Here is a 21,427-nt window from a genome sequence, read left to right as displayed (position 1 = left end):
CACTATGTTGCCCAGGCTGGTCTCAAACTCCTGGGCTCCAGCAATCATCCTGCCTTGGTCTCCCAAAGTATTGGGATCACAGGCATGAGGTACCACACCCAGCCACAATATTCTTCAAGTTCAAAAACAAGCAAAACTAAACCAAAAGTTGTTTAGAAAAACATGCACATATGGGGAGAAACTGCTTCTAAAAACTAGGGAATAATAAACACAAAATTCAGAACAGGAGTGAAGGCGAGATTGTGGTAGGGGAAGAGCAGGTGGAACCAAAAGGAATCTCCTAGTTGGATGTCAGGTTCATGTTTGTTTATGCTTCATGGATTGTCATATCTGTTTTGTGTCCATTGATATTAGATTTAGAAAATAATAATAATAAGATGATATTTCCGGGAATACTAAGAACATAGGGCAGATTAAAGACAGCAATTCCTAAAGCAAGAATTTACAAACCTATATGTGATTTGATGGAATCAATGACAATCTTCATCACAGGATTAGGATTCTATCCCGAGGATACCCCATGCATATAAAACACTTAACTAAAAGTAGTTGTTAAAACTTAGTAGCATAGGATTTTGTACATTATAAAATATAACAATCTGTCAACTCATATTTCTTAATGTCTACTGTGCTGAGCAAGAGTCTAGACAGAAACACAGCAGGGGGTTAGAAAAAAAGGCCCTGCTACAGGGAATGTATTTGACACTAAGTTGTTTGAGACAAAAGCTTTCATAATTCTGAGATATTCCTTCCTGTCCTCAAAATCCACTCCCCAAATCCTGCCAGTTTCACCTTCTACCTCTTTCTCACCAACTCCCACGGCCTTCACTGTGGACTTCCATCAGTCCTTGATCCTGGCACCACTACGTCCCCCACCTCTTCCCCCCATACTCATCCATCTTTCCTCGTCCATCCTCCAGGCATGCAAATCTGGACTTGAAGCTTTAGTGAATCCCCGCAGAACAGGAGGGGGTGCGCTGTCTTTGTAGAAAGCATTTTGCAAAAGCTCCATTTAAAATAATTTTGTTATGTATCACAATAGTTTGTATTTCTGTCTTCTCATTAATCTCTGAGCCCCTTGAGGACAAAGGTCCAGCTTTTCCTTTTATGTCTTTCCAAAGCAGAGAGGCTCAGTATAATTATAGCAGTTCCATTTCTGATAGGGGATGTGAGGACACTAAAATTTTTGCACAGAGGAAATCTTCAAAACTTGAGCATGGCCTATAGGGCCTCCTATGCCTGACCTCAGCCAGGCTTTCCAGTCTGTCTGATGCCTCCAACAGACAGCATTCCCTGAAACCATTTAACAGAAATCATTCCATGGAGTATTACAAGGACTCCATGCTCAATTGAGTTTGGAAAATCCTGCAATAAACGGATTTAAACAGGTTTCCTGGCAGGAGGATGTCTCAGAGATGTTAATATGGTTCTGTGATTTGAGAATCTCCAAAAGGGGAGTCTCGAGACGTCACATCCTCGATCTCAGCCACAATTACCTCTTCACATGGGACATTCATTTACACAGCCTGCAGTACAAATATTTAGTAGAACACTCCCCAAACTATGGCGATTTCTGTTAAGGAATGGCTTCACATACCTCATTTTCCCTAAGTGCTTTCTCCCCAAGTCACTGTTCAAGTTTAACCTTCCCCAATCTTAGCACACTCCTTCTCACATTCTCCTTTATTTCTACAATGCTCTCTAAGTGTGTTTATGAATTGTCTCTTTTAAAATGTTACACGGGTCATGCTTCATGAGACTGAAGCCATGAGCATGGTGACTTTGGTCTTACATCCCCAGCACAGAGCAAAGTTCTGACACACAATACAATCCTAACTCATGGTGCTGACACTGAAACAGCACACACCAGTGAATGCAAATTCATTTTTCCCCTTTACTTTTTAAAATTAGAGGGAACATCCCTAAGAGCAATTTCAGGAGATATTTTGCAGCTTCTCCCCCATCCAAAAAAAAGTGCTTGCTAATGATCTAGTAATTGTTCTTACGGTTTCTAAACAATTGCTAAACACTATGGTAAGTGTCCATAAGTTTAAGCCTTCACAGTCGTTAACTCCCTAATGTGGGAGGCCTCTGCTTGATCAGATATCAAAGAGTTAAAATTATAATTCTGAATAAACTTGAACAGATTTAGAGAAGGCAAGTGAAAGAAATGCTTGGTACAGGTCTTTCAGTCATTTTTAATTTCAAAAACTAAAATAAACAAAACACAACTGCATGAGACAATGGCAGAGACAAACTAAGATACATGGACTTATTTTCAATTCCACTCTTTGGTGAAGATCCATTTAAAAGAAAACTTCATCAGTTCAAACTTCCAAGGGGGCCTTAAGAGATCATGTAAGTCATAATTTAAAAGGCTTAAGACAAACTGTTACTCATTAAACTTAAAAATTTTTTATAGCTTAGTTTTGGGTTCGATTTTTGACATGTTAGAATTTTATTTCTGAATGAGCACTTTATGGGACTAATAACAGCGCCCTAACAGGACTTACTGCAGTTACAGCATAATGTCACCATTTTAAAGGCTAGTATTTAGAATTACTGAGTATTTACTTTTAAGAAATTATTGATATTCATGGGTCCAATTTATTTGATGCCTACTCCATCAGGAGCTCAATTCCCAATTGTAGCTTCGGTCCCTCGAGAAAATCAGGCAGATTTTCTGACAACTCATTTTGAGATGCTGTCTCCTGAAACAGCTGTTAACCGGAAGTAGAGACTGCTAGTGTCTGTGTCAAGCTTGACTGAGTTTATCCGCTTTAAATTCATACATTTCCTGATGAAGTTTTCAGATATTTAGATACAGCATTAAAGTTTGTTTGTCTCTATCACTCTTAATAGTCAATTGGTTTTTCCATCAACAACAAAAGAATGTTTGTGAAGCAGTCGGATTTCCGTATGATCTTTTTTTTTTTTTTGAGACAGGGTCTCACTCTGTTGCTCAGGCTGGAGTACAGTGTCACGATCTTGCCTCGCTGCAGCCTCAACCTTCCAGGCTCAAGCCATTCTCCCACCTTAGCCTCCAGAGTATCTGAAACTACAGGCACATTCCACTATGCCTGGCTAATTTTTACAATGTTTGCAGAGACAAGGTTTCACCATGTTGCCCAGGCTGGTCTTGAACTCCTGGGCTCGAGTGATCCACCCACCTCAGACTCTCAAAGTGCTAGGATTACAAGCGTGAGCGACCACGTCCAGCCTCCCTATAATCTTGATTTAAATAATGTTATTTACATCCAACTTATCTCACACCTAAATTACAGGAATTCAAGACTTAGCCAAAGACAAAATGACACAAGGTGGCTACTTCATTGTTGTCATTATAATTATTTTGTTGCTATTATTGAAAGGACATAATAAGAAACTCTAAATTAATTTTAATGCCCACGTACAGGATTTCTAAAAAGACAAAGAGGTGATCTCGCTCGTATTCCCATGCACTCTCTTGCTCTCTTTATCTCTCTCTCTGTAAAGGAAGGTAAGGCTGAAAAGTAAGCTGTTCTGAGGCTCGTGATGTGTATTATCTGTCCTTGAAGTCTGAGAAATCATACTATACAATGACTCACCTTAAAAGCAGACTGCCGAGCACTGCATGTAGGGTATATAATGAAGCCTCCAGGAGGGAAGGAATTTCTTTACATGCCATTCTGAAAGGGAGGTCCCCCAGCTTGTGTGCACAATTGGAGTAACAATATCATGCCTCATTAATAGAACGGATCTCTAAAGGTTATTATAAAGGATATCACCAAGCTCAAGAGAAATCTGACTGCATCTTTCTGTGCTAACAGGGATCAAGTAGAGGCTGAACAAGTGAGCAGAATCTTCTTTTTCAATACTTTGAGAATCAAACATTCTTAGATACTAAACATGCTTCCGTGACTCAGGAGTTTTACTTAAAAGTAAAAACTTACAGTTTGTCACTTAGGCATAAAAGCATAGCCAAACTATTGGTGGCAAACAGACTGTGACTCTGAGAGTAACTTCTAGAGTCTCCTCGCTGGGAAAGTGAGGAAAAGCTCAGAGGGGTGAGCAGAGCACAACTTCTCCCACGCAAGAGGGCAGCTTCCCGGCTAAGCTGGAGGAGTAAAAGGCACCCTCATCACAGAAGACGCAGACTGTCAATCTTCCTCTGAATCTCTACCAAATTAAAGGTACTCCCAGGGGACTGGCCCACAGAGCAGCTCAGGATTCTGTCTTTACCTAAGGCCCATCCTACCCAGTGAGCTACACCTGCAGGGATTTAACGCAAGGCCAGCGGAAGCCAATCAGGTGAAAGGTAGCATGAGGCAAAGGATAGAAACATTAGAGCAAAAGTCAGGGGGGTCTGTAATGTGTGTGATATTGTGAAATATGTATTTGCTCTTCATCCCTGTTACCTGGCACAGAGCCCCAAACACCTTTGGAATCTCAAGAGTGATGTCTTTCGCATGTTAATGAGATGGCTACCAGTGACCCCTAGGTCACCCTACCCCCTTGGTTTCCCTAGGTAGCTTCAGGGTGAAACAGGAAAGACCGAGGCAGGATTAGAGAGTTGGGACTTCCAGCCCCACCCCTCAACCTCCAGGGAGGGGAGGGGCTGAAGGCTGAGTGAATCACCAATGGCCAGTGAGTTAATCAGTCATGCCTACGTGGTGAAGCCTCCATAAAAGCCCCAAAAATCAGGGTTCAGGAGCTTTCAGGTTGCTGAACACATGCAGGTTCCTGAGGAGGGCAGGGAGGCTCTGAGCCTCTTCCCATACTTGACCTATGCATCTCTCTATCTGGCTGTTCATCCATAACATCCTTTATGATAAATATGAAAATGTAAGTAAAGTGTTTCCCTGAGTTTTGTGAGCTACTCTAGTAAATTAATCGAACCATGAGGGGGTGTCAGGGGGTGGGGCTTGCGATTGGATTCTAAGGTCGGGGAGAGCCTTGTGGGGCTGAGCCCTTAATCTGTGGGATCCAACTCCAACTGAGTTAAATTGTAGGACACCCAGTTGGTGTTTGCTGCTAGAAAACTGCTTGGTTTGCTATGTTGGGAAAACTCCCCACATTTCTGGTGTTAGAAGTATTGTACTGAGTGAGAGTACGCAAAACACTTTAGCTTTTCCTGTATCTCAGTCTATGTAAAGCTGCAAGAAGTGGAGGGCATCATGCCTATATGTTGGTGGTGGTGGCATTTTGAAAATACCCCTGCAAAACATTGTAATGATATTCCATGGGTCACTAAAGGTATATGAGCAACCCACTGAGAAAGTACAGTGCCTAGTATAGGTATAGTATTTGTCCCCTCCAGCTTGTGAATGAAGTAGGAGGTCACCAAATTACTCTCTTCACACATAAGCAGCAAGCATCTTCTTTTAGAGTAAATATAATCATTATCCAGCACTTGACAAAATGATGTTTCATAAAGTTTACATGACTTCAAAAAATCCTCAAATCAACTTAAGACCAAAAATACCTGGAGTAGACCTAAGTACATTAAATTTACTATAAATCATCAGGAAGAACTGTATTTGGTCTTCAAAGATATTCTCCATCTACACCATCCAATATGGTAGCTACTGGCTGCATGTGCCTAATTACATATAAATTAAAATGAAATAAAATTTAAAATTCAATTCCTCGGTTGCACTAGCCACACGTGAGCGGAGGTGCTGAACAGAGCACAGATGAGCCTCACCATCACTGCAGAAAGTCCTGTTGGACAGTGATGCTGTCAATTTTGAAGATGAGTTTTTCTCCCTGCAAAAACCACAGGTATGTTTTTTCTTACTTAACATTGCCTGGGATTTGCTTGCTGGGTCAGAAACTGAAAAGCAAATCACACTTAGCACTCTCAAAGTCTTAGAAAACCCACAGTCAACAACTCAAGATGCAAATACTGTAATTAAGCTATGACAATACAGACACCCAGGCAGTTATTTCACACTGAAACCTATGGCCTCCAGCACAGCCAAAGGCCTTTGAACCAGACTTAATCCCCAGAAAATACTCCAGTCAGTCCCAGAAGTAGTTACTGCTCTTGTAAATTAAAATGAAGGATGAGAAAGCGGACCCTAAGGATTTTTTTTTTAATAGATGATGCAGTTGCCTTTGGTATGTCCAGAGTAGTAACAGAAAATAAACATCCTATTCATTAGCCAGGCACATTGCTCAGGTTCGCAGTCAACACTCCATTTATCTGATTATCACCAACATGTATTATTAAGAAGCATATTTTACATGTATCAACATAAGGGCTGTCTCAAGATTTCCTGTAGAGCCCATTCCCTCAAGGAAATATTCGGAAGATCTTTCTATTCATAGGAGTACATGAGCATCAGCTAGTTGTGTTTAGCAAACCACAGTTCCGCCACTTAATATTGTTAGCCTCAAGCCAAGTTTCAATGAGGGGAGAACAGTGATGCATGTGAAATGAGGATTAGGGCTGGGGCACACTGGCAGGGAAAACTGACATGGTGAAATTAGTGTCACAACAAATAAATGCTGTCGCATGGAAAAGGGAAAGGGCTCAGTCTCAACTGATTAGTCATCTCTATGGAGATCAACGCTGCCACTTCTCCTGGACACACGCAACAATATCTGGAGTGGGCTTTTCACGAATGGGTCTGTGTGAGTTATAAATTGTTCTATGAATGCATTATTTTCCACTAATTGAAAGCAAAACTAGAATCACTTCAAGGCCACAAACTTAAATCCCTGTACCACCTAGCTTTGGGTTTATGTGACCATATGGTCTAATTCACTTAGAAATAAAACATGAGAAGCAAGCACACAAAATTTGAGGCCTGGTTTTCCCTCCCAGTTCCCTGTTTGGTGGTGGGGGGGGGACAAAAAGGTGTCTTAAACAGCATGAGAGTGGTGTGCATGTCCATGATATAATAATAAGAATTGCTTCCTTTGAAAGAAATTGCCAACACAAAGCTTTCAGTACTATAAATACTTCAGCAACTCTAAAGTCGTTGACTTTGCCATAAAATTAAACTGTGGCTGCCATATGAACTGCAATATTATATTACTCTTTCCCTCTCAAATATCAAAATAATAAAAATATTAGTATAAAAGTTTATAGAAAGCAGAACAATTTACACCGTATATGTTAAACCAGTATTTCTTCACTTGAGGTCAGGGGTTTTATGCTGGAAAACAGAAGCGACGCTGATCTAACACAGTAAAAAGGCAGAGGGTGGAAGGGGGCGGGTGACCACAGAGCAAAGAGAAAGAATGAAAGATGACATTCTGATGGGCCTTGCCTCATAGCTTAAGCTATTCCTTCAAATAGCCTCCCGAAAGCTACAGCAAACTGCTACAGATCATATGCACCATCTCACCTAACGCAAATACTTGGCAGCTCTTTAAATAGCAAATAAAATAAAGATATTTATATTTCGAGCTATTATTTCAAAAAGGAAAGAGTATTACTAATGGTGATTGGAAGAAATTTATGAAGACTATCTACAAGATTAAACGGCTGATTAAAAGGAAAATCATTAATTTTTTCATCTTTCATACCAAGAAAATAGACTTAATGTAACTGTGCCTTCATTATAGTGTGTTAACTAGTCTTAATTTTAAAAATATTTTAAACCTCTATGCTTTTCAATGATATGATTTGCTATTCTATTGCTTCTTCTAAAAATTTTTTTATTGAGCCAAATTATTCTTAGACTGAAGAGGTTACAACAATCAACAGCCAATATGTTTACTTGAGACTGCCCATGTGTTCTGTCTACGAACACTTTCTATGTGCCCAGGAGCAGGGTACAATGCTGGTTTGATCCTGTCCTCAAGGAGACTATGGTCTAGTAAGGGTGACAGGCAAGTCAGAGAATAAACATGACAGAAGAGTTACAAGGACAGTGGCCAACAGACCTATTAGTCTCATAGGTGACCAATTATGCTCCCCTGGAAGAGTGATGATCACCAAGTTATCAAACAAGGGCTTAGGATGCTGGTGATGTGATGTTCCCTCTCATGGAGGAAAGAAGGGGCAATGTTATGGGTTAAATAATGTCCCACAATAAAACGTATGTTGGAGTCCTAACCCCCAGTACTCTCAGCCTGTGACCTTACCTGAAGACAGAGTCTTTGCACAGGTAATCAAGTTAAGATGAAATCTTCAGGGTGGGCCCTAATCTATCATGACTGGTGTCCTATAAAGTGACAATGTGTACACAGTCATATACAGAGGGAAGGTGACGCCTGAGCACTCAGAAGCTGGAGGAGAAGCCTGGAGCAGACTCCCCTCAACCATCAGAGGAGACTGATCCTGCAGAAACCTTGATTTTGGACTTTTAGCCTCCAGACTGTGAGATGACAAGTTTCTGCTATTTAAACCACCCAGTTTGTGGTATTTTGTCATAGCAGCCTAGAAGACTAATACAGGCAGTGTTGTCCTGAGTTAGGAAGAGAGGAAAGAATACTCAGGCAAAGCGATGAGAATGAATAAAAGGCAAGGAAGTATGAAAACGTAAGTGCATTTACAGGTGTGGACTACAGAAAGAGAAGCTCAGAGTAATGGCTGTGGGCTTGGAGAGACATTCCACAATCAGGACATACAGCAGGATTAATTAACATAAAGGGTAAAGCAAAGCTGTGTGATGTTATCTTAAAGAGAATGAATGGCTCCCAGACCCAATGGACCTCAACTGTAACTTGACTGAAGGAATTAATGTGGGTCAGAAAAAGGTCTAAAATGAAAGACTATAAAGATGGTTAGAGGCAGACAGCATGGGTTTCTAAGTCAGCAAGAGGGAGGGTGGCCTAGGAGTGTCCAGTCAGGCTTTGTGGAACCATAGCCACACATCTGACACCATTAAACAGTAAAGTGGGAGAATGAAGTGCCCTTCTATCTGGAGTCCCAGTTCACCATGCAATATGGATAACATGGCTTCTCAATGTGATCATGGCTTCTTTATGTCAGCCCAAGCCATAGACTCAGTTCACCTGACAGGTAAAATTTTCATTGTTAAGTAAAACCCTTGCATCTGGCTCATAGCACTTATGAGCCTTGATGGTGAGAGCTGGCATCATCAACTACATTTATGACAGAATCCAACAGGGAAGAATGTGTTTCAGAACACTGAGGACTAATATCCAGCCAGAGTGGCCTCACCAAATGATGCATTTCCTCCAGATAGCTCCATCTCAGTTAATGACAATACTTTCAGTTCCATCTCGGTCTGCTCAGGCTGCCATAACAAAATGCCACAGACTGGGTGGCTTAAACAACAGGCATTTATTTCTCAAAGTTATGGAGGCTAGAAGTCAAAGATCAAGGTGTCAGCCAATTATGTTACTGATAAAAGCTCTCCTCCTGGCTCACAGACAGCCACCTTCTCACCGTGTTCTCACATGGCGTTGAGATGGTGGAGAGAGAGATCAGGTGTTTCTCTTCTAAGGACACTAATCTTATCAGATTAGGGCTCTACCCTTATGATTTCATTTAACCATAATTGCTTCCTTACTCCAAATACAGCCACACTGGGGGTCAGCGCTTCAACATATAAATTTTGGGGGAACATAATTCAATCCACAGCCCTGTCAATGGGGTCACATTGCATCTAGAATAATCCTGCTTCCTTCCATGTTCTACAGGGCCCTGCATGGCATGGTCTTTCCTTGTCTGCTTCTTGACCTCACTGGGCTCATTTTGCTCCTGAGGCTCTGCCACACCACCTCCTATGTATTCTGCCACTGTACCACCTTGGCGGATTTGCATTTGCTATTTCCTCTGTCTGGCATATCCACCCCTGGTCCCATCTCATTCTCCTGGAGTCTCAGGCCAGAAATAGCTCCTCACTGAGGACTCTGTTTACCACCCTATCTAAGTGATATGGTTCAGCTGTATTCCCACCGAGCTCTCATCTTGAACTGTGGCTCCCATAATTCCCACGTGTTGTGGGAGGGACTGGTGGGAGATAATTAAACCATAGGGGCAGTTTCCCCCATACTGCTTTTGTGGTAGTGAATAAGTAACACGAGATCTGCTGGTTTTCTAAGGGGAAACCCCTTTTGCTTGGCTCTCATTCTCTCTTTGCCTGCTGCCATGTAAGACATGCCTTTGTTCGCCTTTGTTCTTCCTTCACCCTCTGCCTTGACTGTGAAGCCTCCCCAGCCATATGGGACTGTGAGTCCATTAAACCTCTTTTTCTTTATAAATTACCGAGTCTCAGGTATGTCTTTATCCGCGGTGTGAAAACAGACTAATACACTAAGGGTGACTTCTTTACTCCCCATACCACTCCTTAACACATCATCCTCTTACTTATCTTTCAATGTACTTATGCTATCTTATTCATTCGTCTACCTTCCCACAGTTGAGCTCTGAGTTCTATTTAAGGAACTTCTATCATGTAAATATGTTCCCCAAATTTCATTCATTTAAAACTTAACCCCCAAATTCATATGCTGATTGGACATGGAGGCTTCAGGAGGTAATTAGGATTAGACAAGGCCATCAGGGTGGGACCCCTACAATGGTACTGGTGACTTTAAAAGAAGATGTACAGAAACCTGAGCTGACACACATGCTCTTGTGCTCTTGCAATATGGTGCCCTCTCCTGTGTTATGATGCAGCAAGAAGGCCCTCATTAGATGTCAGCACCATGCTCTTGGACTTCCCAGCCTCCAGAACCATTAGCTAAATAAACTTTTCTTTGTAAGTTACCCCAATCTGTGGCATTTTGTTATAGCAACAGAAAATTGACCAAGACAGGAAGGAATCTTCTAGATCCTTTCTAATCGTGTATTCCCAGCTGCCTAAAATTGTGGTTAGCACCCAAAAGTTGCACAATAAATTTGCTGAACGAAAGAATAAACCACTTGTGTTCAGTGAGTATCCAGTATTCATCTTCTTTTTTGGAAAGGCACATTACAATCACATTGATTCAATTTTGACTGTATAACCTTTGAAACATCAGATGGCTAAGACATAGTTTAAAAAAACAAACAAACAAACTTCAGAGCCAGTAGATGCAGTCTCAGCAATTCTACTTAGTTGTGTGACCTTTGACAGGTCACTTCTGAGCCTAACATATTCATCCGTAAAATGGGAACACAGCCATTCACATCATAGGCTGTTGTGAGGATTAAATAAAAATAATTGAGTTATACACCAATTATGCCTTTTGGTTCATAAGTAAATTTTTGAAATTTCTAGTTATTCAGAGATCAACACAAAACTTGCAGTAACAGTCATGTGATGCAAGAGAGCTCCACTTTTTTCAACATTCTGTGGAATGAAGTGTTAACAAAATCTTTCGTCTTGAGAAAAAGCAACAACCCTCAAGAGATCTGCAGTGGCAAACGCTGTAATGAGACACCCTCTGCCCCTGCCTCCCCAAAGACCTTCACTACTCACTGCTCAAACACATTGATGTTGGTTCCCACAAGAAGGTGTAATTTAATAATCTTTGAATTGCTGAGGCCTGTGTATTTTTAAACCTGAAGGCTCAATTAGCAGCTAGAGTTCAATCACTATAGTAGCACTTGTAATTTCAGACAATTACTTCACGTTGTGTGGAAGCTTTGGACATAAAGAGGCTGTATGTTTTAAGGCACATTTTGTCCTACTACATTTCTGCACCCTTTTCTAAATGCTTAATGCTTTCAAAAACTGCATTTGTTCTTCCTCAAAAAGGGATCTGACAAAATAAAAGGTTTTCTCTTATTAACATTTCTCCTGTCTCTTGATTACGGGGCTCAAACTTGAGTGTCACTCCTCATGAAGAGTATCTCCAATTCTCCACTTGTTGAGGCAAGAATAATCCTCAGATCCACAACTAATCTCTCATCCCTTCCAACACTAAATGCACATTTTCTTGTTGCCTATTCTTGCTTAAAGATCCCCCAAAATGTGACTAGATAAAATTGATCATGCACAATCCATTGTTGCTATTAGGTTTTCCTAACACCATTAAGGAAAAATAAGACCATTTTATATCTTTAGAGATAATTCCTATGTAAAAAACTTTTAGATTTCAGCTGATTCAAATATATCAGAAGCAACACACATCTGCAGATGGAAGGAATTTCTTTTAAAATGATAATCTTGTTAAACTTACAGGAGTTGAAATAGAAATGAAAAACTTAAGAGGATTGGTCATAGGAAAATTGTACTAATCAATTTACTTGGTTGAACTATTTTTCTGAAAGCAGCTCAGAGACAAGACCACCCCTGTGCAAGTGTAACTCACACAACTTGTACTTACCCAATTAATAGCAAATCACTAACTTGATTAACACATAATTACATACATACCTCAATTGCCTTTAGAACATATAATTTGAGGAAATACTGTAATTTGTGCTTGGGAAATACATTGTTCACCTACATACAATACTCTCTAATAGAGGCACCATTGAAAATATTCAGAAAACTAGTTAACATTAAGTATCTTGTTAAGGTTAACTGGGCCACCTAACAACTTAGCAAAATATAAATTACATTGAAGTGAAATAAAAAAGGTAGAGTACTTGCCTAGAGTTATAAAAATCAGACAGTGAAGGTTATAACTCAATCAAGCTGAGGCCATTTCTGTAATTTCATTTGTCTCCTTTTCCTCTTCTGTATTTATAAACCACAAGTCCTTAGGTGATGAAGGAATCCTGGCCCCTTGATTTAACCCACCATCTCTGCCAAAGTCATAAATGCCATATATCAGTAGCTTGTAAGACCAGCAAGGAAAGAAATGCCCACAGTCCTTGTCCTGAGGGTTATGTCAACTAGTTAAGTGTAAACGAAAACAAATAAAGCAAGACAGTTTTCTATTAAGAAATACCCTTCTTGGAGAGTCCAATTCAGTAAGCCGTTTAAGCACCACCAATGTGCAAAATATTTTAAAGATGAATACACCAGTTTCTACCATGAAGTCTTAACTAACAAACAAGCTTACAGCCCAGGAAGGGGAAGGATGGCACTCCATTCTCACACACACACACACAATATAGATATATGTATATTTATATTTATGCATGTATATATATGCACACACATACATACATGCATTATAGATATATGCATATATAGGTATATGCATATATCTATGCATAATTTATGCATTTATAATCTATGCATAATTTATGCATTTATGCTCATCTAGATATGCATATATATCTCTATATGCATGTGTATATATACACGTATACACACACACACATATTTCTATAACACAAGAGAAGTCCGTGCAGTTTTACTTCCATCAGGATAAAATTCTCCCATGTCCAAAAGTCCATGAAGGTGATAAATCCAGAGCAAAGGCAGAGATATTGGTCATAAGGATAGAATTAGAAAATGAGACTGATAAATTAGAAAAACTACTATGTTTCAAAACACGTATTTGGTGATTTGGTGAATTTACAAGATTTTTCTATTTACCTTTCAAATCTTTTCTTCTTAATAAAAAACACACAAAAAAAGGTGGAAAACCTTTTATCACTTCTGAGCTGACACTGAGAAGAACTTTTGAAAAAAAAAAATCATAGTCCTGGCTTTTTGTTGTTGCTATTGTGGAGACTAAGTCTCACTCTGTTGCCCAGGCTGGAATGCAGTGGCATGACCATAGCTCACTACAACCTCAAACTCCTGGGCTCAAGTGATCCTTCCACCTCAGTCTCCCAAGTAGCTGGCACTACAGGCTCACATCACCATACCCAGCTAGTTTTTTAAAATTTTTATTTTACTTTTAGTAATGACAAAGTCTCCCTATGTTGCCCAGGTGGTCTTGAATTCCTGGCCTCAAGCGATCCTCCCGCCTTGGCCTCCCAAAGTGCTGAGATTACAGGCATGAGCTACTGTGCGTGGCCAGTCCTGGCATTTTGTTGAAATTCAATTTCTTTTGAAGTGAGGGTGCCTCTAAGAATATATTCTTTAAAATTCAGTTGCTCATTACTTAATTTATAACAAAATATTAAATATATTTAACTATGAAGATTTCTACTGGACTTAAACACCAATTCTAAAATGATCAGAACTTTGCAAATCAATTTTTCACTTTAACTAATATGACAGCACATCTGAAATAACCCTACAATAAGTACTACATGTTGAGTATCCCTTATCTGAAATGCTTGGGACCAGAGGGTTGCAGATTTGGGATTTTTCTGAATTTTGGAATATTTGCATATACATTATGAGATATCTTGGGGATGGGACCCAAGTATCAGCTAAAGGGAGCTAAGAGGGTCTTTTATTCCCCTGGAGATGCTGAAGAAACTATGTGTTGTGTGCCTGCATTTTGACTGTGACCTGTCACATGAGGTCAGATATGGAATTTTCTATTTGTGGCCTCCTGTCAGCACTTAAAAAGTTTCAGGTTTTGGGGCATTTCGGATTTTGGATTTTTGGACTGGGGATGCTCACCCTGTATAAACATTTCTGTTTCAGATTATTTCACCATTTCCCAAAGTATGGGAGGGCAGAGGAGAGAGGACAGAATGAGATTCATTACTTTTCTAGGTTTCAAAATATAATAATTTCAGATCTCAACTTTCCCACTTTCATGTGGTAGCCTTCTCCTTCCTTCTGCTCCTCATCATTCCTCTCACTGTTGCTTATCTTATTGTTACTATTTCCATTTCTTTGCTTCCCCTCTCCATAAGAAACTAATTTGGCAGTTACCAAAAATCTGCTTAGCTCTATTGACACATCTCCAACTTGGCATATACATTTCTTGAAGGCTTAATTTTTTTTTTTTTTTTTTGAGACAGAGTCTTGCTCTGTTGCCTAAGCTGGAGTGCAATGGTGCCATCTCGGCTCACTGCAACCTCCACCTCCCGGGTTCAAGCAATTCTCCTGCCTCAGCCTCCCAAGTAGCTGGGATTACAGGTGCGCACCACCATGCCCAGGTAGTGTTTTATGTTTTTAGCAGAGATGTTTTTTAGTACTGTCTGTTTTTAGTAGAGATGGGGTTTCACCATGTTGTCCAGGCTGGTCTCAAACTCCTGACCTCAGGTGATCCACCCACCTCAGCTTCCCAAAGTGCTGGGACTACAGGTGTGAGCCACCATGCCTGGCCTGAAGGCTTAATTTATGAAATAAATACATGGTCAAGGTGTGACTGAATCTCAGTCACAGGACAAAACTGTGGGCTCACTGTGGATTTTAAAGGAATCCCATTTTCAGGTAAATTAGGTCTAAATTCAGTGCAAATTTGTTTCCTCTACAATTTCCAATTTTGTTAACCCTCAGATACTTCTAAAGAGGATAACAGAGCTACAAGCACTGGATGGGAATCCACTGTCTTATGAATCCTACCTTTTTTCCAGTTTTCTTGGTGATGGAAGCTTACTTAATCAGGACTGGATTTGGTAAATGTCAGCATTAGCTGGAGTGAAGAAAAATGAGCTCATTCTAAAAAGGCAGGACGGATTTCAGTCTGATAAAAAAAGTCTCTGCAGATAACACCTCTGGTTGGGAAGAACACAGATTATAGAATATAAGAATATTTGGCTCATAAAAATCTGAGACAGAGGCAAGAAAGCACTAAGTAGCAGAAAAGGTTGAGAAAAACAAAAAGAGAAAAATGAAAAGATTAAATCAGAAACAGAACATATCTCATAGCTAATTTATCCTCTAATGTTTCCACCAACACTCAGCCCAGAGATGATGAAATCTGACACTTAACACACTTATGTAGATTTCATACGTATTTGTTCACAAAGCAAGTTACATTAGGAGCATCTTTCCTAGTTACTAAGTAAACATTTTTTAACACATTTCAAGGTACCTTCTTCTGCACTGGTGAAGAGCCAGACACAAAGGTACCTAGGATAAGATGACTTCCCTGGGAATGCAGAGTCTAGTGAGGAAGACACTTAGACCAATAAATCCAACAGCATGGGAGTGATACCATGGAGGCCCAACGGCAACATCAATAATCCTTCCACTCCCACTCCTAGGCCCAATCACCCACTACTCCACTTCTCTCAAAAGAACTTCCCATCATAAGCATCACAGATCTGTTGAGGTTTTTCTTATTATTTAAGTCTCTCCTTCCCTTTCTCTATGGCTTCATACAATTTTACTAAAAAGCAGTGAAATGTCACCATTAGTTCATTGATCTCCACTTCCCCCTTGATTACAAGAATCAAGCAGCAAGCTACATTGTGCCTATTTCTAACATTTTGTTCAATTATTCGACTTAAAATGTAGTAAAGAATTTTGTCTTAATTTCATATTTCTATCAACTGTAAAACTGTGCTTGAAAATTATTTTCCAAGGTAATATGAGGATTTTTAAACATATCTATTTCACACTCTTCTCAATTTACACAGGCAATTGTATTATATTTCAAGTCAATATTTTTAAAACCCCTCAAGATGATGTTCCATATATTCAATACTAATCTAAGTTTTATCACTGATTTCCCACTTTCTTTGCTTTTTATACTTTGAACAGCTTAGATCTTCCACCCAAGAATATTTTTTTCCGTACAACATGCAACCTTTAAAATTTCCTTTAGTATGGGTTGGCTGGTAGCAAACTCTCAGCTCTTAACTTTTGTGAGTGTTTTGATTTTAACCCCATTCTTCAAAGATTTTTCTGCCTATAAAGCTCTGGGTTGGCAGGTATTTTCTTTCAGCATTGAAAATGGCATTCTGCTGTGTTCTGGTCCCTCTGTTGCTGGTGAGAGGTCACCTCTCTCTCTGAGGAAGCAATGCTGTACCCATCCCCTACTCCCCACCTTCTCTTAGTGTCTGCTGTCCTGAAGTTTCACTATGATGAATCGTGGAGAGAATGTATTTACTGATCCTTGTTAGGACTTACTGGACTTTCTGAATCTACAGATTAGTATCTTTTTACCACCTTCAGAAAATCCCTAGCTATTATTTCCTCAAATATTTACTCTGCCCTATTTTTTCTCTTGCCTTTAGGCTGATCAAGCTCGGTAAACTTCCTCATTCTACTCTGTATGCCTCAACTGCCCTTCTGGGTTTTCTCGTGACTCCTCTCTTCTTTGTATATATAGATTGGGGTCAGTAAACTACGGCCCGTGGGCCAAATATATCCCATAGCCTGTAATCTAAGAACGGTTTTCACATTTTTAAAGGTCTGTAAAAACAAAATTAAAATAGGAAAGGCTATGCAATAGAGACCATATGTGGTCCACAAAACCAAAAATATTCACTAGCAGATCCTTTACAGAAAAACGTTTGTTGACCTCTGTTCTAGATAATTTCTTATTTACCTACTACTTCCCTAATTCTTCTTAGAGTATTAACTAATATACTATTCAACCTTTCCTTAGAATTTTTAATTTGTTGTGATATTTTTCATTTCCAGAAGTTCTATGTACTCATTTCTCACATCTGCTGTGCTACATTTTATAGTTTGCTGGTCTCCACAGATATCCCTAGGGTTACTGTCTGTTTTTTTAACATAGCATGGTTGTTTTATATTCTATATCTGGTTATTCGAGTATCTTCAATTTTTGTAGTTTATTTATAGTGTCTTTTCGTGCTAATAGCTGGAGATGTCTTCTTTCTTGTGCTTTATGATTTTTTGAAAGTGAATTAACAGCATACAGAATAAAAGTGCCCTCCTATGAAGAGGAGCTGCATTGGCTTTTGAGAAATGTAGAGTCTGAGGGTCCTGAGTCCATATGAGTAAGGAGAACCCAGAATTCAAATCCTCAGGAAACCTGGCTGTCTTCTGTCACCTTACCCTGCAGGTGTGCCCCTGCAAGGCCCCCAGCTTAATGGGAGGAAGCTCCCTAAACTGTAGACCCTGTCCTCTGCTCCCTGAAAAGCCTCCACAAAAGGTGCTTCTGCATCCAAGGCCGTTCTCGCCTCTCTGAGTTCCTGCTCTCCTTCAGTTTACCTGAGAATCCCTTACTCTCCTTTCTTCAACGCTAGAAAAAAATGTATTTTTAACTATTTTATTCAACAATCTTACTTAGTTTCAGCAGGAGAAGTGGTCAGGGTAACCTAGCCTACCACGACTGGAAAACAGAAACCCAAGTTCAAGTTTTTAATCACATCATTGCCAGTCTGAGAACTGGGAGTTCTTTCATTTCAATGCTAAGAAGCGGATTGAGCAAGCCCTTTTCCACCACCCAAGAACTGATTGAAATGCATGTTGGATGTAGCCCAGGACTATGCTATTCTATGTGACCCTGCAAAGTCTTAAGGCATCAACTACTACTAAGCATCATCTTGCTCCCAGTAGCATGAAATCTCCCTACCCTACATAGAGATCTTGCTGGGAAAAAAAAAAAAAAAAAGTCTAACTATCAGAACTTTAATGGAGGGACATAATTGGGTTTCCTTCTTAAAAAAAAAAAAAGTTTACTGCCATTAATAGAATTCTTCACTGCTCCAGAGCTTAAAACAGACAAAGTTGCTAATGAGATGTTTTCAAGCATCCTAAACATGGGTCTTCACTGAGGTAAACCCAAGGCTAGCCAACATCCTACCCACAGGAGGGCTATTGTGTGCTGCCTCCCAGCCGCTCCACACCTTCTTCCCGAAAATGACAAATCTTTCCTCATGGCAATGAGGCAGTCTCGGGGCAGTGACAACACCCGGCATGAACAACCAGCTGTATCAATGTCATTTCCATGTCTTCCCTTTCCACACTGCCCTACATATTCCTCAGGTCCTCCTACTCAGACCCTCCCTCGTGTTTATAAACACGCACTCCTAACCTGTTCTGGTCCAGTTACCTCAGCAGGTCACTCTCAATCTTTCCATTCTATTTCAAGATTTAAAAAATTACTGAAGACCGCTGTAGAACAGTATCAGGTATAACATGTACCAAAAGAAAGCAAACCAGAAATCTAAGTAAAAGGAAGCATAAGACTTATGTCAAATAGGTCAAATAGCTTATGTTCTTCAGAATACTGGGAAATCTTTCCAATTGCCACCTAAACATCCATTCACACTCACGGTCTTTCAGCTCCTAAATACAATTTTACACTACGGGTAACTAGCCACGAATTCTAACACTGATTTAATATATATAAAATGCTTCTATGTTGGGAACTTTCACATAATTTACAGATCAATAATTAATTTCTATATTGTCTCAACTCATAAGATTTTAGGTGTAAATATTAAGATCGATGAGAGGAAGCTCAGATGAAAAAGGAAGGAGGAGAGGGTATAAGTTAAAATAGTCTCCCCAGAACTGCGTGAATTTTTCAAATTCTACATTAATAAAGAAATACCATGGAAAACAATTTAAATCTACATAATTCAGTAAGTTTCATGATGGAACTGTAACAAAAATTAATAAATTCAAGAAATTCTAACAAAAAAACACAATAAACAGCAAAGTCAAGGGAACACCAAGAATGGAGTTAGTGAGACAACTATCTAGTCCTTGTTTCTGTACCGAACTTAAAAGAGTTTTGTCAGATGAATCAGTTTTCAGTTTTATTCTGCCAAACTCTTCAAATCATTTTCTACTCACAAAACTATCCTCTCATTTCTCAGAGGGAACTGAAATAATGAATACTGATGATAACTGATGGATTCAACGAAATGACAAAACCTAACATTTAAATCAATTGAGTTATAAAAATAATCACCCCCTAAAACTACAATCTAATATCTGACTTTCCTGTAAATTCCACATAAATAACAAGAAAAAGACCTTCAAATTAATCTCTTAGAAAATGATAAATAAATTGTGTATGGCCATTAAATAATAACTGTATGATTATAGTCAAAACAATTAACTTTGAGGAAATGAACAAAGCTTGCATTCGGTTTGGCATTTTAGCTTTTGTTGTTTTCATGCAAGTGCAGTGAGATTTTCAGTCCTACTTGACTCTCCTTGTGGAGATTTATCAATTGAGTCTTGTCTGCTACTAAAACTGTAATTAAACTTTACAGTAAGCTATTTACATGTCTGCAATAATTTCTTTTCAAGATAAACCAGGCTTCAGTTTTATTCTATGAAATCATTTCCAATTACATATTTAATCTTTATGTTATTACTTAAATTATACATGTACCACCCTCTAGCCCAGATCCTGGCTGGAGGCTCTGGCAGCAGCTGCCACACGTGTCAAAGGGCTGTTATTATATTCAATGGGAGCCACATGCACCAGTCTGCACAACACTTTGTACCCTGTGACCTAATTCAGCCTATGAGATCTGGCTAATATTTTAGGGTGAACCCTGGTGCTCATGACTCAGAAAAAGAAAATGAATGTTGCTGAAATTGAAGCATCCTAGAAGTATCATCTCCTCTCCAGCTCCCAAATAGGAAATTATTAGGGACTTGGAGAATCTGATGAGCTAAGCAGTACCACATACTACTCTTGAAAATTAAGTGGTCATGGTTCACGCCTATAATCCCAGCACTTTGGGAGGCTGAGGCGGGTGGATTGCCTGAGGTCAGGAGTTCGAGACTAGCCTGGCCAACATGGTGAAACCCCATTTCTACTAAAAATAACAAAATTATCTGTGCATGGTGGCGGGTGCCTGTAATCCCAGTTACTTGGGAGGCTGAGGCAGGAGAATCACTTGAACCCAGGAGGCGGAGGTTGCAGTGAGCCGAGATGGTGCCACTGCACTCCAGACTGGGTGACAACAGCAACACTCTGTCTCAAAAAAAAAAAAAAAAAAAAAAGAAAGAAAGAAAGAAAAGAAAATTAAGTGGTCACTAAAGGATAGAAATAAGGAAAAGATTCGTATTTATGCATCTAGGAAGAAGGACTGGAAGATTGTTGGGTGGCATGGGTTTGGTAGATGTACCTTATCAGTTTCAGAAAGTTCAATTCCAGCATTGAAAGTGTGTTGTTGGGGGTGGTCAATGATAAATGAATGTTAATTATTTGGGGGTTTTTTGGTCTGCATCTAATAAGATAACTGGGGTATAGGAGAAAATCACAGACAGGAGGCAGGACTAACTTGCAGTTCCCACTTGGACAAACAAAGCAGCATGTGGAGACTCATATTGTGAACTTTTGCTCCAAGAACTACCACAGGAACATACCAGGAGAGTCGAGAGAATCCACAGACCCTTGGAAGAGAGTGGATTACTGCTGCGAGCTTCAGGAGACAGCTAAAAAACTGTGAGTGCCCAAAGTGTGAAAATGTGAAAGGGGAACTGTCTGCCCCTGAACCACAGGGGAACCTGAAGGTCCAGATTATGAGAAGAGGATTTGACCTTACCTGGAGCTGAGGCAAATTTAGAGAGCTGAGCGAAAAACACAGGTACAAGAAGAATTGGGAAGAGTCCTGTGGGATCTCTCAGTCCCCAGAGTACACATTTCTGGTTTTGTCTCAGGAATCCTTGGGGAGGGCTACCAGTGGAATCAGGGAAAGACCACAGGGAAAAGACCTCCAGCTGAATTTGTAATAATTTCAAGTGAACCCGAAGTTTCCTGGACAGAACCCGGAAGAAGGGTTGAATCAGGAGTGCAGACAGGAGCACAGAAGCCATGGCAGATGGGGAAGTGTGAAACC

General features: G+C 39.8%; 1 protein-coding gene across 13 annotated transcripts in view; it reads right to left on the bottom strand.

Annotated features, from left to right (window-relative positions):
- Window positions 1-21,427, bottom strand: part of ATP8A2 (ATPase phospholipid transporting 8A2) — a 653,878-nt gene that overhangs the window by 388,937 nt on the left and 243,514 nt on the right. The window contains exon 25 of one of the 13 annotated variants that reach the window (XM_017020625.3): window positions 12,562-12,643. The exons of the other annotated variants lie outside the window; for them this stretch is intronic. Coding sequence (XP_016876114.1) covers window positions 12,599-12,643 — 45 coding nt within the window. The 3' untranslated portion in view covers window positions 12,562-12,598. Of the gene's footprint in view, window positions 1-12,561; window positions 12,644-21,427 lie in introns of those variants that run through there. 13 annotated transcript variants of the gene reach the window in all.

Source organism: Homo sapiens, chromosome 13 (assembly GCF_000001405.40).
Source record: "Homo sapiens chromosome 13, GRCh38.p14 Primary Assembly".
In the NCBI taxonomy this organism is placed as follows: Eukaryota; Metazoa; Chordata; class Mammalia; order Primates; family Hominidae; genus Homo; species Homo sapiens.
The sequence above is the reverse complement of the archived record's forward strand: the minus strand, read 5'-3'. Positions and strand labels throughout refer to the sequence as shown.